The sequence below is a fragment of the Homo sapiens genome, chromosome 15, assembly GCF_000001405.40.
Source record: "Homo sapiens chromosome 15, GRCh38.p14 Primary Assembly".
NCBI classification, from domain to species: domain Eukaryota; kingdom Metazoa; phylum Chordata; class Mammalia; order Primates; family Hominidae; genus Homo; species Homo sapiens.
Window position 1 is genome coordinate 91,631,175 of NC_000015.10, and position 18,732 is coordinate 91,649,906.

At 40.5% G+C, this 18,732-nt stretch overlaps 1 long non-coding RNA gene across 1 annotated transcript; it reads right to left on the reverse strand.

The window, feature by feature from the left end:
* Positions 1–7,343: 7,343 nt before the first annotated feature.
* On the reverse strand, positions 7,344–17,947 carry LOC105370973 (uncharacterized). The gene is made up of 4 exons (NR_188299.1): positions 17,872–17,947; positions 13,564–13,704; positions 11,266–12,224; positions 7,344–8,153 (listed from the first exon to the last, which is right to left on the reverse strand). It is a non-coding gene; the product is annotated as an uncharacterized LOC105370973 (long non-coding RNA).
* Positions 17,948–18,732: the final 785 nt, after the last annotated feature.

Sequence of the window (18,732 nt, forward strand, 5' to 3'; positions counted from 1 at the left end):
GAAAACCATACAAATGCCCAACAACCTGGATTTAGGTTTGCCAAATCTTTTTGTTTGTTTGTTTGTTTGTCTGTGAGACAAGGTCTTGCTCTGTCTCCCAGGCTGGAGTGCAGTGGCATGATCTCGGATCACTGTAGCCTTGACCTCCCAGGCTCAGGTGATCCTCCCACCTCAGCTACCCTTCCAAAGTAGCTGAACTATAGGAACATGCCACCATGCCTGGCTAATTTTTCCATTTTTTGTAGAGATGGGGTTTCACCATGTTGCCCAGGCTGATCTCAAACTCCTGGACTCAGGTGATCTGCCTGCCTTGGCCTCCGAAAATGTGGAGATTACAGGCATGAGCCTCCATACCCAGCCTCTCTGTTTGCCAAATCTTATCTGTCTACTCTATTGCTGAGTAGCCGACTCTCTGACAGCAGCAACTAACTACAAGTCATTAGCATAGTATCTTGGAGAGCTACCTAGGTACTTAGTAGCTGGTTGATTTCCTCTGCCCTCTTCCATTGTAGAGAGATATCAGTGAAAGAGATACATTCTGAATTTGAATCTGCTCTCCTTGCCAGTCACATTTCTGCTAGTTACCTGTATATGTCATATTATATATTATAGAGTCTGTGTGTGTGTGTGTGTGTGTGTGTGTGTGTGTGTGTGTGTGTGTGTGTATTGAAAAACTCGACCTTTAGCCCAAGTGAACAATACCTTTTTTGGAAAGGAGGCAGACTTGCAGAATAAAGGATATGCTCAGAACCAGTTTCCAGTATATCATTTAGCAAATCTCATAGTCACATTACAATGATCCGTGACAAGGGCTGGAATTGGGATGCATATCACATAATTAGATCTAATGACTCCCTAGCAAAATTATTTTCTCCTGGATTTATAGACTCTGTTAGGCTAAAAGTTTTAGTACTCAGTTACAGAAGGCTTCCACCCATGAATAAAATGATTTCATGGAATTGGATGCTAAGAATGCCATGTGGCCATTTTGAACTCCTCATGCTATTCAATCAACCAGCAAAGAAAGGGTACTACATGGTTGGCTGGGGCATTTAATCCTGCCAAGGAGACACGGTGTTGTATTAAGCGGTGGGTGTGAAGAATTATGAATGAAGCACAGGTGTTCCCCTGGACACTTCTTAGCTCAACCATGCTAAACATGAGATGCTAATGGGCAGGGCCATCAAGGGCTCATCTCTTCAGGAAGGAAGGCTTGAATGACCTCACTAGGCAAGCATCCCAGATCACCCTGTGTGCTGCTGAAGGCCTAGGGAACAGAGACAGTATAGGGGACTGGATCTATATGATTCATTATAGCCTTTAGACCAGTTGCAGTACAAGGGTTATGGCCTCCCTGATATTTATTTTTATATAGGTTGTATTGTTTCAAAAGTTTCAAAATATTGAGACAGAATCAAGAGAAAACCAAGGCAGAAATAGATGTTATCCATAAAACCTGGACCCAGAACTAGGTGCATTTGCTGAGGTTTGGTTGGGGTTCAGGTGGAGTGGGGTATACATGAGTTTTCAGCATACAAGGTTGTGCTGCAGTAGCTAGGTGAGAACTTTATTTTGAAAGATGATTATAAGAAGAGGTGAGGATGAGGATGCGGGCTTGCCAAGCAGGTGTAGTATATGGACCTCGGTCAATTTTGGCTTCCCAGAATCCAATACCTTCCTCATATAGAGTCATCCCAGAAGTGAGGGACACATTCCCACTCACAATGGAGAAGCTGAAATGGGGGAGATATTTCTCTTCCCAGATCGCTAGAGGTAGAAGGAGTGCACACGTGAACTGTGTTCAGCCAGTCATCAACTATCACCCAAGGTTCTCAATCTTGAGAGGGCGTGACCAAGAAGGAACAGTTAGTGACCATTGGCAGTAGGTGTAATGGTACAGCTGAATGCACACTGGTGTGGTCACGGGCACTGAGGCCCGGCAGCACTAGCTGCAGGCAGTGTTCTGTGGTTTGGGTTCCAGAATGCGTGATCAGGCCACGTTCTCTTTCAGCAGTTCAGACCGTCTTGGCCCCTGGCTGTGTTCTGACTCAGCGTTCTGGATTTCCCTGTCATTCTGCACACTAGTGAGGACCCTTGCAGTGAATCCTACATCTAATTTAGTAGGCCACACTTGATGTCTGTTGTTCACGATTAATGTTCCTACCTTCAACAAGTGGTTTTACACAATAAGAAGGTCGGGCACAGCCCTGGAGTGGGTGGGGAAGTGTGGGGAAGATATATTATCATTGGAGAGCAGATGATCAAGGACAGGTCCAGAGTGTTGGATGTGTTATGTGCAAAAAGCTGATGTCATACGTGATGATGGCAGAATATGGCAGAAGAGAAATATGGTAAACCAGATGCCAAATTCTTCAGAAAAGGAGGGGAAGCAATCCACTGGCCACACTGAAATGAATGAAGAGGGACTGTAGAGTAGTTTAGCCAAATCGATCATGTTATCAGAGAAGCAGAGATGTTTTACATGAGGTAGACAAAACAGGATATACAGCAGGCGCCTGAGAGCAAAGAAAAATCAGACCTGGCCAGGCACAGTGGCTCAAGCCTGTAATCCCAGCACTTTGGGAGGCCAAGGAGGGTGGATCACAAGGTCAAGAGTTCAAGACCAGCCTGGCCAATATGGTGAAACCCCATCTCTACTAAAAATACACACACACACACACACATACACACACACACATAAAAATAGCCGCGCATGGTGTCACACACCTATAGCCCCAGCTACTTGGGAGGCTGAGGCAGGAGAATCTCTTGAACCCCATAGGCAGAGGTTGCAGTGAGCTGAGATTGCACCACTGCACTCCAGCCTGGACAACAGAGTAAGACTCCATCAAAAAAAGAAAGAGAGAGAGAGAGAGAGAGAGAGAGAGAGAAGCAAGAAAGCAAGAAAGAAAATTCAGAGCCAAGTCCTGCCCCTGAGTCTGGGGTGTGGGAGACATGCAGGGTAGGGTGTCCCCTAGGCAGAGCTAGGTGCTAGGTTTTAGTTAAGGCAAAGAGGCAGAGCAATGTTTAGAAGGAGGTGAAAGTGTAGGAGAGTTTGTCTACCATGTGACAGATGTTCCATGGAGCATGATGAAGTCTTGCAGGGGAGAGCACAGGGCTGTCCCATCTAGGAGGCAGCACATCCTAGAATGGAGATTGTTGATGTCAGAGAGGACAGGTGACCATCCAGGGCAGATGTGAGGCACACCGTGTTTACATAGCACGAAGGTGTCCAAAGGTTAATCCAATATTCACATGTGCCTACACAAGATGCGCTACAGGGGTTCCTAAGTAGACTCCTGAGATAGTGACAGGCTTTGAGCTGCAAAGACCTGGCTCCTAGTCCTGAGTCTGTCACTTAGTAGCTGTATGATTTTAAGCCTTTCATTTTTGTTTACCCATCTATATAATGGGACTAACAAGGCCCATAATGCTTGGTGGTTGTGAGTGTCAGAAAGATGATACATAAAAGTACTTGAGGAAAAAGTTTCATTTGACAATAATTTTAAATGTACAAGTTGCAAGAATAAAAATGGTACAAAGAATACACATATACCTTTTGCCCAGATTCACCTATTGTTAATATAATAGTGTATATATATATATATATATATATATATATATATATATACACTGTTATTTTATATATACTGCTATTCTAACAGTATATATTATATATAGTTATATATATGCTGCTATTACACTGTTATACATATGGCAGGTTATAATATATATAACAGTGTATATGTATATGTTATATATACTGTTATTATAACCTACTGTTAGAACATTTTACCACATTTGCTTCATCATTTATCAGTTACATCCTCTCCATATTTATATATCTTTAAAATATTTAAAATATGTATGTGCATATAAAATGTCTGTGTATATCTGCATAAAATATTTTTGAACCACTTGAGGGTAAGTTTCATATATCATGGTCCTTAATACCTGAACACCTCAGTCTGTATTTCCTAAGAATAAGATAATCTCCTACACAACTGCAGTGTAGTCATCAACTTCAGAAACTTAACAGGATATGATAGTTTAGTCTACCATTCATATTCCAATTTTGTCACTTGACCCACTTCTGACCTCCTGGCATCTCCCCTGCTGTACAGATTCCGCCTAGGGCTGGGCTGTGCACTTAGTTGCAAGTCCCTCACCTCCTTTCTTCCTTTAATCGGAAACATTTCTACAGCCTTTCTTTGTCTGATAAACATGTCTTTAAAAAGTTACACTACAGCAACACAAGTTTAAGGCTAAAAACTAAAAAACATAGAAAACCAGCAAGGAAAAAAATCACCGATAAGCTCAGACCTCAGGTCAGGGAAGTCAACATGGTCCCACTTTCCTGCTCTCCTGGGGAGCACCCGAAACGTCAATCCCACTTGTCTTTTGTTTTATTTTCTACTCTGTGCTTTTCCCCCAAAGACAACTTTACACTGCTCCTTTCCACAATGATGTGTGTGTGTGTGTGAAAATCTGTGAATGTGCTTCTGCAACCACAAAGTCCTATACAAGTTTAAAGTACTCTTAGCTACACAATACAGCTAGAAAATGGGACTGTGTGAAATATACATTTCCTGCTGCCATGGTGCTCATTTCTCTGACTGCCTCTCTTCTTACTCCTTCCTCTTTATTCTCTCAGATCAGAGACTATTTTCTCTGTGTCCCCAGAGCACTGTAACTGTGCCTTATTGAATCACACTGCTATTATCTGTTTATAGGTCTGAATCTCTCACCAGATTGAGATGCTATCGATGCTGGGACTATGTCATATATCTCTTTTTATCCTTGGTTCCAAGTAAGTCCTTGCTACATAGTAGTCAATTAATAAGGAGATATGGGAGGAATTAATTTGCATCTATTTAAGCACGTTTCTGGGGGATGCAATGTTATATCAGAAATGACTCAGTGTTGGTCTGCAGGTGAACTATTGAGTCTCAGCATCTGTATAACTTGAAAGAACATTGGCTGATGGACGACGTCACACTTGTTCAATTATCTACAAATTATTAAATCCACTTAGGACCATGGTCGACACAATGGTATCTAAGTAAAAACAGAGTAATTAATGGAACAAAATCACATGTAGGAAGAAAATTCAGTCTTGTTTAAATTAAAACAGATGAAAAAAACCGGTGGAAATTGGAGCACCAGATGGTATCAATAAATTACACTAATTTTCTTTTCACGTATTCAATTATAGTTTAAATAAAAACTAATATGGCTAATTTATCTCATGGAGTTTGTATACACCATCTGATTTTACATTCCCACAATGTCCAACTTACCCACCGATCTCACGCTGCACGATGTTTAGCCAAGCAGGGCGTGATCTGCAGGGCATTCTGGGGTGGGGTTCATGAGGGTGCTGGCTCCTATGGGCACCAGGAGCGAGGTATCACAGGGCTGGAAGTCAGTACTGAGTTCTGCTTCCCCAAGAGTGTGGTTGCCAGATACAGTGCAGGATGCCCAGCTGAATTTAAATTTCAGGTGAACAAAGAATAATTTTCTAGTACAAATATGTCCCAAATATTGCATGAGACTCATACTAAAAAACTATCCACACAGTTTACCTATTACTTTCCCGTGCATTTCTTTACTCTTTGCAACAGATCCACGAACCAGGGCCTCAGATTCAGTGGGAATGAAGTGGAGGCCCAGAAAGAATCATGTCCAGGTGAAGCTCTACCATTCCCAGCAGTATTTGAGGACTGGTCGGTGTTCAGCAGCAGCCCCAGCCAGGACCTCCCAGGGGACCCAAGACGGGATAGGATGGAGAAGTGGAACCAGGCCCTCTGACCCTATCCCAGCACTGGAAACTGGCGAGAGCAGGCTATCCTTCCAGGCCAGGCCTAGGGACAGATTAACATCAAGAATGGGCAGAAACCTCTGTTCCCCGCAGCCCTGAGACACTATGCAAAATAAATCTTTGCTCCTGCTTTGTGGTGTCAGAAACTACTTTAAAATGGAAGGAGGGAAGGCATATGTGAAAAAATTCAAATTCTTAAGAGACAGCTAGCTTCAAAATCCAAATGAAAATAGAATAATTTTCAAAGACAAAACTTGGTACAAGTTTAAGTGACCTAAATCAGATGCCATCCTGGTGTGGTGCGCGTGGTGGTGATGGAATCAGAAGCAGAAGATACGGGATTACTCACAATGGGGCAAGATGCTATTGAAAGCCAGGAAAGAGCACAGACCACAAAGACATCTCCCCTTATGAAATGCAACATTTTTTTCCTTCTAAGTAAACTTTCTTTTTCTTTTTATTTACTTATTTTTTTGAGGCGGAGTCTCGCTGTGTCGCCTAGGCTGGACTGCAATGGCGCCATCTTGGCTCACTGCAACCTCTGCCTCCCAGGTTAAAGCACTTCTCCTGCCTCAGCCTCCCAAGTAGCTGGGAGTACAGGTGTGCGCCACCACACCTGGATAATTTTTGTATTTTTAGTGGAGACGGGGTTTCACCATATTGGCCAAGCTGGTGTCGAACTGCTGACCTCAGATGATCCACCTGCCTCGGCCTCCCAAAGTGCTGGGATTACAGGCATGAGCCAAGACACCCGCCCTACTTTAAGTTCAGGGGTACATGTGCAGGTTTGTTATAGAGGTAAACCCATGCATGTCATGGGGGTGGTTGTACAGATTGTCACCCAGGTAGTAAGCCTAGTACCCATTAGTTTGTTTGTTTCTTTATCCTCTCCCTCCTCCTACCCTCCACCCTCCGATAGGCCCCAGTATATGGTTATCCCCTTTTATATGTCTATGTCTTCTCATCATTTAGCTCCCAATTTTAAGTGAAAACATGTGGTACTGGGTTTTCTGTTCCTGCATTAGTTTGTTAAGGATAACGGCCTCCAGCTCTATCCATGTTGCCACAAAGGACGTGATCTTGTTCTTTTTTATGACTGCATAGTATTCCATCATGTGTATGTACCACATTTTCTTTATCCAGTCTACCACTGATAGGCATTTAGGTTGATTCCATCTCTTTGGTATTGTGAATAATGCTGCACTGGACATACACGTGCATGTGTCTTTATGAGAGAACAATTTCTATTCCTCTGGGTATAGAGGTGATGGGATTGCTGGGTCCAGTGGTTGTTCTATTTTTAGGTCTTTGAGGAATCACCACACTGTTTTCCACAAAGGTTGAACTAATTTACCATTAGGTTGAACCAGCACCTGTTATGTTTCGACTTCTTAATAATGGTCATTCTGACTGATGTGAGATGGTATCTCATTGTGGTTTTGATTAAAATGCAGCATTTTCTAAAAGGAGGCCACAGGATTAAGAAGGAAGAACATGGGCTTCCAAGTTAAGCAAACCTGGATTCACATTTTGTCTCTACCGTTTAATATCTGTGTATCTCAATGAGGAACATATGGTGGCTGAACATCCTCTTTGGTGAAACTAGGCTATAGAATCATCTTTGGGAGTGTGCTCATGTCTCAGTTTACCTGAAATGCATCCCACAAACAAGATGGACCAATACATGGACAGAGGGATAGACAGATTGATCAATATGTGATCACACAAGATGTCAATGGTATAATAAATCTAAATGGTCGGTATATAGGGTTGGCTGTAAAATTCATTTGACTTTTCTGTATATTCCAAAATAATCAAAATACCTGTCTGAGTTGATGTGAGAATTAAATATGATGGTATACAGGTGCTTGAAACCTGGTATCTCCAACTTCTGTATTTTTTCAGTGGCACACAGAAGTGTCTCATGTCACTTATGGAAGCGGTCTGATAACATTTTGTAGGAGTGATGGGACCCAGATCCTTTCATAGTCCCTGCTCCCCACCTTATTCCAGCCTGTATGTTTGTTCTGCATCACAGAAAAAAGTAGAGATGCTTACTGGATGGCAGGATAGAGGTTAGAGTAAGAGGAGAGAAGCTTATCTCACTTTGGGCAAATCTTCCCTTTGTAAGTGTTATTAAACTGGAAAAAAATGAGGTGCCTTAGAATTAGCCCAAGAAGTGGTAACTCTAAAAGCAAGGCCGTGTAGATAAATCCCACTGGACAAAAAGTTGTACTTAGCTAGCCGAGGTCTCTGCTCATTCTTCATTCCACAGCATCTATCTTCCTTAAGGAAATTATGACAAAGAAGTGTTTCCTGTATCTAGTTTGCACTGTGGAGAAAACAAAATATGAATATGAAATGTAATGATTAGTTTCAGCAAAATGTCTATTTTTCCTATTATCAAAATTTTCTCCAATTCTTGCAAAATAATATAATCAGTAAGATGTTTAATTCCTTAAAGTTTAGCAACACATAGCTTATTTTTAATAAAATGCAGAGCTCCTTGGGGAAACAGCTGATTCCAGGGCAAAAATAATAGAAAATGAGAATCTAGTTAAAAGGCCACAGCAGCTACATTGGAGGGGCTTCCACTAATCAAACGTGGAACAATTTGAGCAACAAAATAAATAAGTAGAGTAACCCATAGAATAAAATAATAACCCATGAGTCCTCATTGAGATAAATGTGTAAGTAAACTAATGTTGCAGAAATAAAATGCTTTCTCATGGAAGTATTCCAACTAAATGCAGAAGAAATGATGGAATTAGAATATTCCCATTTGGCAACCACTATAGTAATAAGTATTTTAGACAATCATCAAGGATGCTAAAACTTGTGGACAAAAGTATGATGAGAAAGGGCACAGGTACCTCGTCTCTAAGTGTCTCCTCACAAGATACCTGATAATTACAAGCAAAACAACAACTTTCAGGTGGAGAATCCTGCAAGATGTTACCTTAAACTATTGATCAAAGTTAGTAGCACTAATTGTCTTTGTTCAGGATGCTTAACAGAACAGCATAGACTGAATGGCTTATAAACAAAAGAAATGTATATCTTGCAGTTCTGGAGGCTGGGAAGTCCAAGATTAAGGCACCAGCAGATTTGGTGTCTGGTGAGTGCCCACTTCCTGCTTCATAGTTGGCACCTTCTTGTTGTGTCCTCACATGGTGGAAGGGTGAGGGAGCTTCCTGGAGTCTCTTTTATGAGGGTACTAATCCCATTCATGAGGCCTCCATCTTCATGACCTAATCAATTCCCAGAAGACCTACCTCCTAATACCATCACCTTGGAGTTAGGATTTCAACATGTGAATTTGAGGGTGGGTACAAATATTCAGTCTATAGCACCAATAATGAGAGAAATCATCATCATGTGCCTCCTGATATCATGCACTAGGAAGGACACAGACCACTTCCATGATAGTCCTGACAAAAGGGCATATGGTGAATCTAAACACAAGGAAGCGTTAGACAAAGCCAGATTGAGGGAAATTCCGCAAAATACTTGTATATTGTTCAAAATTGTCAATCATGAAAGATAAAGACTAGAGACCATTTTGGATTAAAGAAGCATAAAGAGATACCATATGTAAATGTAGCGTATGATTCTGAACTGGATCCTCAACCAGAAAAGCTTTTATTTTGCTATATAGGACATTAGTGGGACAATAGCGAAAGTTTTAATATTTGTAGATTAGCTAATGTGGACTCTATCAAAGTTAAGTTTCTGATTTTGATAATCATGTTAGAGAATATTGTTGTTTTTAGGAAATACACACTGAGGTACCTAGAGGTATAGAGTATAATTCTGCTTTTTCTCAAACTTCCCAGAAAAAAAAAATTGAGTAGATACTAAGACATACACACACAGACACACACACATAGACACAGTGAGAATCAAGCAAAGGTGTTAAGATGTTAATACTTGAGGAACCAAGGTAAGGATTATATAGAAATTCTAAGCACTATTTTTGCAACTTTTCTCAAAGTCTGAAATTATGTCAAAATTTTAAAATAGAAAACAATCTTTTTCACAAAAAGTATATATTTGTAAGTTCTTAGTCAACCTTTAAAAGCACATTATATATTTGGTTGGTGCAAAAGTAATTGCAGTTTTTGCCATTACTTTTAATACGTTTTAAATTTCCCCAAATTTCTAATTGTTTGCCTCCAAACAGGCAAAAAAAAAAATCTGAATTTCTCATGATTTCTGAGTTTTTGAGAATTTTACTTTTCTTGCCTTAAAAAACGTTCTTCTAGAGCATTGATTTCCTCTGATGGATGACCAAAATTCAAAGTCAAATTAAAACTCCCACAGAGCTCAAGGTGAGCCCCGTTGTGACATTATGCAACTCACCTGGTGCTGTTGTGAAAGGATTTCACTGCACCTCAGCACTGAAGTTCTAAGCTCCCTCAATACATCTGTATGCCCTTCTAAAGATTGTGATCTTGTGTTGTGGTTGTTTCACAGACCTTCACTTCATTCCCTACCCCACTCCCACTACTTGAGGACTTGGAACTTGGGTTTTCATATTGTTTCCACCGAGTCTAGCACAGTGTTTAAAATTTGGAATGCTAAAAATGACATTTGTTATGATCTCACATTTTTTAGGCGTCTCTTCAAAAAAAATCCCCTTAAATGTCTACATGTCGTGTTTACTCACAGAGCTATTCCCTGAAGAAAGGGCACTTTGATTTACTGAATGCCCACGATGCCATCTAGTTCAGTCCTTAATATTACCACCTAGTTCAAATTTGCCGTCTATTTCAGTCCTTAATATTACCATATGACTGTAGGTATTGATATTCTCACTTGGCAGATGAGAAAATTGAAGTACAAAAGGTTTTAAAATTGCTGAAGCTTACACGGTAAATAAGTTGCAGAGCTAGAATTTTAACTCAGACTAGCTTAATGCCAAGCCCATGAGAGTTCCCATAAGTAACTCTTGATTTCTTTTTTTTTTTTTGTCCAGGTTTTTACATTTATTCTTAATACAAAATTTTCCATATTATACTTTTACAATTGTTATTATAATTAAAATTCAAGTTATGTCTTTAATTTTATTTTTCATTTTTGTTTTGTTTCTCTTTTTCTTGATTTATATTTTATTTATGTCATTTAGTAATTAAATAAATTATTTTTCTTTTTTCTATTTAAATAATTTTAGCTCTTTGTTATCTCATTCTGATTTTTTTTTCTGGTTATATATTATATAGTTTTTAAATTATACTTTAAGTTCTAGGGTACTTGTGCACAACGTGCAGCTTTGTTACCTATGTAAACATGTGCCATGTTGGTGTGCTGCACCCATTAACTCGTCATTTACATTAGGTATATCTCCTAATGCTATCCCTCCCCCTGCCCCCCACCCCACAACAGGCCCTGGTGTGTGACGTTCCCCTTCCTGTGTCCAAGTGTTCTCATTGTTCAATTCCCACCTATGAGTGAGAACATGCGGTGTTCGGTTTTCTGTCCTTGTGATAATTTGCTGAGAATGATGGTTTCTAGCTTCATCCATGTCCCTACAAAGGACATGAACTCATCATTTTTTATGGCTGCATAGTATTCCATGGTGTATATGTGCCACATTTTCTTAATCCAGTCTATCATTGTTGGACATTTGGGTTGGTTCCAAGTCTTTGCTATCGTGAATAGTGCTGCAATAAACATATGTGTGCACGTGTCTTTGTAGCAGCATGATTTATAATCCTTTGGGTATATACCCAATAATGGGATGGCTGGGTCAAATGGTATTTCTAGTTCTAGATCCTTGAGGAATCGCCACACTGCCTTCCACAATGGTTGAACTAGTTTACAGTCCCACCAACAGTGTAAAAGTGTTCCTATTTCTCCACATCCTCTCCAGCACCTGTTGTTTCCTGACTTTTTAATGATCACCATTCTAACTGGTGTGAGATGGTATCTCATTGTGGTTTTGATTTGCTTTTCTCTGATGGCCAGTGGTGATGAGCATTTTTTCATGTGTCTGTTGGCTGCATAAATGTCTTCTTTTGAGAAATGTCTGTTCATATACTTTGCCCACTTGTTGATGGGGTTGTTTGTTTTTTTCTTGTAAATTTGTTTGAGTTCTTTGTAGATTCTGGATATTAGCCCTTTGTCAGATGAGCAGATTGCAAAAATTTTCTCCCATTCTGTAGGTTGCCTGTTCACTCTGATGGTAGTTTCCTTTGCTGTGCAGAAGCTCTTTAGTTTAATTAGATCTCATTTGTCAATTTTGGCTTTTGTTGCCATTGCTTTTGGTGTTTTAGACAAATCCTTAGCCAAAAGTAACTCTCGATTTCAATCAATTATTCTATTTCACAGTTTAGACAAGCAATCCCATTGAACAGGCACCCATTTGTACAGCTGGTCCTTACAGATGCTTCCTTTGGTTCCCCTGCAGATTTGGGGGAGAGGAGATGGAAAATAAAAACACGGTTATGGAAGAGTAAATTGAAAATGAAGCTCATAGCCACTTGGAATTAAGGAATAAAGTGGTTGCTTATTGACATGCTTTGTATAATATCTGCATTGGAAAATAATTTATAGGGCTATGTTCTCTCACATTTTATCATTGGAAAGAAGTGAGAGAAAAACTCCAAGAAGGACTGAGAGGCACCTGGGCCCGGATTCATGCTAGATATCATTCATCAGAACAGCTGGTTTGTCCAAAAATAATGATAGCCCAGGCTTCTGTTTTCCCTCAGCACTTGATATCCCTTCTTTTCTTTACTGTTTAGCAGAAGATAGAAGCTATGATGTTGGGAACTGCACACCTCAGAGCTGCTAGCATGAATGGTAGGGCTCCAGCTCACTCAGTCCCAAGCCCTAATGCTCCTTGCTTCCTTCTGACATGGCCACATACCAGGAAAGGCAAATGCTTCAGGGAGAGTTGGGCCATTCATCCACCAAGAATGAGAGAAGCCACACGGGGAAGGGTGGGAAAATAATAATAAAAGCGAACAGCTAATAACTAATAGATGTTGACCTGAGAAGCAAGGAAGAACTTGATGCAAGACCTTGGAGGATATTGAAGACAAGGAAAATGCTCCTTGATACCCTGTCATCACGTATTCCATGACATAGCCTAGGAAGGTCATTGGCAAACATCTTTGGAGAGCAATCTGGAATTCTCCAAATGAACCACCCACCTTGGAAGAGATTCTCTGTAGCTAAATAGGGGTTACCTAGTTTGAAGTCTAGGGAGATGAAAGGCTCCTTCTTTGGCCAAATAATAGCTAGTGATTACAGGCATCACCATATGAAGGAAATGAACCACCAAACTGAGCCCTGTCCAAATTCATGAGTCACAAAATTGTATAATATACAGCTGACCCTTACAACATGGGTTGTAATTGCTCAGGTCTACACTTACATGGATTTTCTTGTGCCTCTGACACCCCTGCGACAGCAAGACCAACTCTTCTACTTCCTCCCCCTCCTCAGCCTACTCAATGTGAAGACATTGAGGATGAAGACTTTTATAATGATCACTTCCACTTAATAGTAAATATATTTTCTCTTCCTTATGATTTTCTTAAGAACATTTTCTTTTCTCTAGATTATTTTATTGTAATAATGTGGTATATAATACATATAACATACAGAATATATGTATTCATCGACTATGTTATCGGTAAGGCTTCTGGTCAACAGTGTGATATTAGTGGTTAAATTTTGAGGGAGTCAAAAGTATTTGTGGATTTATAACTGAGATGGAGGTTGGTGCCACTCACCGTCTTGTTGTTCAAGGGTCAAGTGTAACAAAACATTTCTTTGTACGCAAAGCTTCAATTGTTGCTGTCTTAAGCATTTGAATTCGATGATAGTTTGTTACAGTAATAGATGACAGGAACACTGGGCCTCAGTATCCCCATCTGTAAAATAAAAGGATTGGCCTTCACGCACTCCAAGAGTCCTTACAATCCTAAAGAATCCCTTGATATGCACTTTTTGTTTCTCTTACCTGAGTAATGCATCAATTTTTGCTAAAGTGACTCTGTGTTATTCCTGCTAGCATACAAACTGCTGTGAGAACTACATTTTTGAGCTACTGCGTTGGCCCCGAGTGTTTACTATAGAATTGAAATGTTTCACCAGATGGGAGCCTCAGCATACACCATGAAAGTGGGGTCCACTCTTCCAGTATGCAGGGCACCCTTGCTTATGGTGTTAGACTCTCATTCAGAACTCTGCTAGCTACAACAGTAAAACCAGGAGGCCAAGAGCATCCCCCTCTCTCGCTAAGAAACTGGTAGGAGGCAAAGAAGAGCCATTCCAAAAATGTTGAAATGAGAAAATGTACAAACTAGAAAAAAATTCCATAAATAGGATAGAAGTATATTTCTCCTACATTCAATTTTCCTTAATAAGATCTTTAAGGACTGTCATTTACAAATTTATCTCAGCCATCTTTGAACCTATTTACATTTTCACCATCTTGAGAGAACGAGCTCCATATCATCTTTATATTTATTTGTCCTAAATTTACCTCCTTTAAGCTAGTTTTAGTAATCTACCACCTCTTTCTCTCTGTATGACTAGGTTGAGAAGATCCAAAAGTCTGAGTTGTGAAACAAAATATACTGAAAATTAGCCATGTCAAATCCTCTGTAAACTGAATTATAATATAAAAATACATAAAAATTGAATAGGTAGAGTTTTCCCATCCAACAGATACCCATGAAAACCTCTCAGGAAAATATCACACAAAAGATGAAAGAAGCAAACTTGTTTCTAGCATAAAGGGTCACCTGGTTATGACCTTAGGTTGTACGGTAGAAAGGACTTACAGACAAGAAAATCTGGGAGGGAGCTATGTTTCATCCCTTACTCTATATAGCTCTTTGAAAAGTTCCCTGACCACCCCACCACCCTAAGACAACATGATTGCTTATGTAAAAGGAGGGCACCCTCCTGGTTAGGACTATGGCCCAGGGAGCCAGCTTACTTGGACTACATTCTACTCCCCCATGGACAGCTGTGTGACTGTGGAAAAGGCGCTTAACTTCTCTGGGCTTCAGTTTTTTGTGTGCAAAATGTGGAACTAATATTACCTACTGCATGGTGTTTTCATAAGGTTTAAATACGTAAAGCTCTTGGAACATGTCTTGGACTTGATGAGCACCATGAAAGTATTAGCTGCTATGATGACAGTCAGATACTAAATAGATATTCTTTCTTTTTTTTTCCTTCTTCTGCAAGTTTTGCAATACAAATGAAGCTCTATTCCATTCTGGTTCCAAAGAGGCTATGTTTGTACCATGCAAATAAAAATTGCTACACGTACATAGAGGCTAGTTTGATTGTTGATAACGTAAATAGCAATAGATGACTTAAAAGTATAAAAGACTTTGAACAAAAGGAAGAGCTTCCAGACTGCTAAGCTCACTAAGACAAGGGAATCTGATGCATTATTTCCTGGGAGTCTTTTAAGAAGACAGTGCATAATTAGGTGTCCTGGTTGCTATTTAGGAAGTTACCTAACAAGCATATGGTAGTATGTATTTGGAGAAAGAATGGCATCGAATGGCAGCTGGACAAGGTGTTTTCTAGGCTGTCCTTCCAACTCATGAATTCTTATAAGGTCCTAAAAATGTAAAGCACATGGCATATTTCATTTCTTTGTATGTAAAGCTTTATTTCCTTTAGGGTCTCCTTGGCTGGTTTCACTGACTATAACACATTATTGGAGGGCTAACAGCCACTCACTTGGCAATGCAGGGCCAGTGGCATGCAAAACACTAGGAGGATCTGAGCACTCTTGCCCAGGGCTGTGCCCAGGGGCTTAGGACCCAAGCCTAGTTAGAGGCCTATGGACCACACAGCAAGCAGATGTCAGCCAGTTTTACTCACAGCCCTCAGCAAATGCCATCATGACCAGCCTGTATCTCCAAGACCCACCCTGGAATTTGCCTGCTGAAGTTTCCTCAGCTTCCTGTGTCTGTGCTTCAGGGTGTTCTCTGGCTGCCAAGTGTGCTCAGCCTATGCTAGGGTCTGGGGTGAACTTCACTTAACCAGGGAAAGATGTGATGAAAAACTACCCCAACTTCCTTGCCACTGTGTTAATGGACTGAATGTTTGTGTCCCTCTCAAATTTATATGCTGGCTCTCAAATCCGCAGTGTGGCTGTATTTGGAGATGGACCCTGTAAGGAAGTAATTAAGGTCAAATGAAGTCATGGGGTGAAAACTTGATCCAAAAGATTAGTCTTCTTATAAGAAGAAAGCTAGAGCTGGGTGAAGTGGCTCATGCCTATAATCCCAGCACTTCGGGAGGTTGGAGGATTGCTTGGGAGGTTGGGGGATCACTTGAGGACAGGAGTTCGAGACCAGCCTGGCCAAAAAGCATGACCCCTATCTCTATAAAAAAAAATTAAAAAATTAGCCAGGCATGGTGGGTCATGCCTGTAGTCTAAGCTACTTGGGAGGCTGATGGGGAGAATCCCTCTAGCCAGGAGTGGGAGTCTACAGTAAGCTATGATCCTATGATCACACCAGTGCACTCCAGTTTGGGCAACAGAGTGAGACTCTATCTCTTAAAAAAGAAGAAGAGAGCTACAGAGTTCTTGCTCTTTCTCCATGGGCAGGGACCAGGGAAAGGCCAGGTGACAACACAGTGAGAAGGCAGCTGTCAGCAAGCCAAGACAAGAACCCTCACCAGAAACTGAATTTGCCAGCACCTTGGTCGTGGACTTGGCTCCACAACTGTGAAAATACATTCCTGTTTTTAGGAGAAACGTCTACAGTTTAGGCTTTAGGAGGCCTTGAACATTATGGAGTATCATTGAAGGCATTATGTGAAGGGTCAAGTGTGTTTGTGGAAAGGAGAAGGGGAAGACCTTTGCTAGGGCTCCTGGGATGAAGGCCCACAGGTGTGCCTCAGATTTTCTTTACCAGACATGATATACCACCTTCTTTCACTCTCTGACCTCCTTTGGGTGAGAATGAATTAAATGGAACCAAATTTCTCCCACATAGAAACAGCCCAAACCCCGGGTACAGAGTAATTCACTGTATACCAGGGAAGTAAGTACTCTTGAAGGTCTTTCCAACTCAGAGGTTCTAGGATTTTATCATAAGACTACCCTTCATTTACATATGACATCGTAACTCCCTGAAGGGAAGCCTCATGGGCTTACTGAGGGTTAGTTTCTGAAGGTGACACTTCCAACATGAAATGGTGGTTGGAGTCCCAAGTAGAAGGGCTTGTCAGTTGGCATCTATGGAAGGTGGACTTGGCTGCCTCAAGCTTGGCAGTTGGTCCCAGTGCCCTGTTGTCATGGCTCTAGATTTACTGTTTTGAGCATGCGAACGTAACTTTGTAGTAAAGTCAGTGGGTCTACATTATTTAACAGCGTGTGTGATGTACTAACTGTTTGTGAGGGAAATGTGAAATCCTGTAACAAGTACCTTCCTCAAGAAAATGGGTGATTTTGATCTCCATCACACGAGGAGCCTGGGCTAATTTCCCTGCCAAGCATATTTTTCCAGAGCATTAATCTGGTGTAAATCACTTAAGTCAATCTCCAGAACAACTTTGGTCCTCATAATTTTTATTTGCATAATTCATCAATTAAAAATATTGGAGGAGAAATAAATTTGTTACTGCAGAACACATTCTTTGGACTTTCCATAAAATTATATCCTATAAACTTTAGGCTTACCTGGGCTCAGAATGAATTTGCTGGTCCCCTAGATATGCTACAAAGAGGAATCCTCATTTTTCAGGCAGCCCGTTTCTGTAGATACTTTGTAGACTAACAGACCTAGGTTTGCATACTCATTTCATGTATAACCTTGAAACGTTATTTCAACTCTCTAAACATTAATTCTCTTATCTAAATATTGGTCACACACACACACTGAGACTTAATTAATATAATAATATTTACTATTACTAGGGGTTGTTGTAAAAATTAATAAGAAAATGTATGTAAAGTGTCTAACAAAAATTATCACAGAATTGGCACTTTTAGTACGTATCTGTCATTCTTTGTCCATGAAGCATCCATATTCCATTCCTATATTTAAGTAATTCCCTACCTTTTTCATCTTGGTGGGAAATAGAAACTGACAACTCCAGATAACAACTTTCCCAGGATCTCTTAAAGTGAGGCCTAGGCACCTGACACAAGGTTAGCCAATCAGATACACATAACCTAGGTTTGACCAATCAGATGCATCTGCTCAGACTTGACCCGGAGGACTGTACTGCAAATAAGAAGGACACTGGAAAATCCTTCCACAGGGCTAAACTGGTAGCAGAAACACCTGGCTTATTGCGGCACCAGGGACAGAAATGTCAGCTGTAGTATCTGGTGACCAGTGCTCAGTGTAAGCAGTGATGTTCTCATTGGAATAGTTCTAAGCCATTATTTGGGCTGTGGTCCTGGTAACATGACTTTCTGCCCACTTTTCAAACCCAGTTCTCCAATCTTCCTGGTAAGACTATACGTTAAGTCTATCCCTGTTACTTTTAACTGCCTACACAGATATGTTTGGTCTACTTGATTCAGGTGCCTTTCTGTAAACAGACCTAAAAGCATAGCTTTAGCCCTTGAGTTTGATAAAGAAAACCAAAATGTGGGTTGAGAATGATGAACCCTTCACCATGAAAATGTTTTTCAAGCAGAAAATTACAAAGGATAAATGACAGACATGATCATTGGTAGTTGAATATCAATCTTTTTTACTAAGGAATCAATGAATTTATGGTCATGGTAGTTGAAATGATATTTAATCTTGACTTGATCTTGGTTTTCTCCACCATTCATAACCTTTTACTTCCCTCTCTGCTGATCTGCTTCAGCATCCATCACCAGCCCACACTCCAATTGATCTGTTTTGTGTGGGGCTGCGCTGAGGCTTAGTTGTTCCTTGTAGTAGGTAGAGCTGATTCATTAA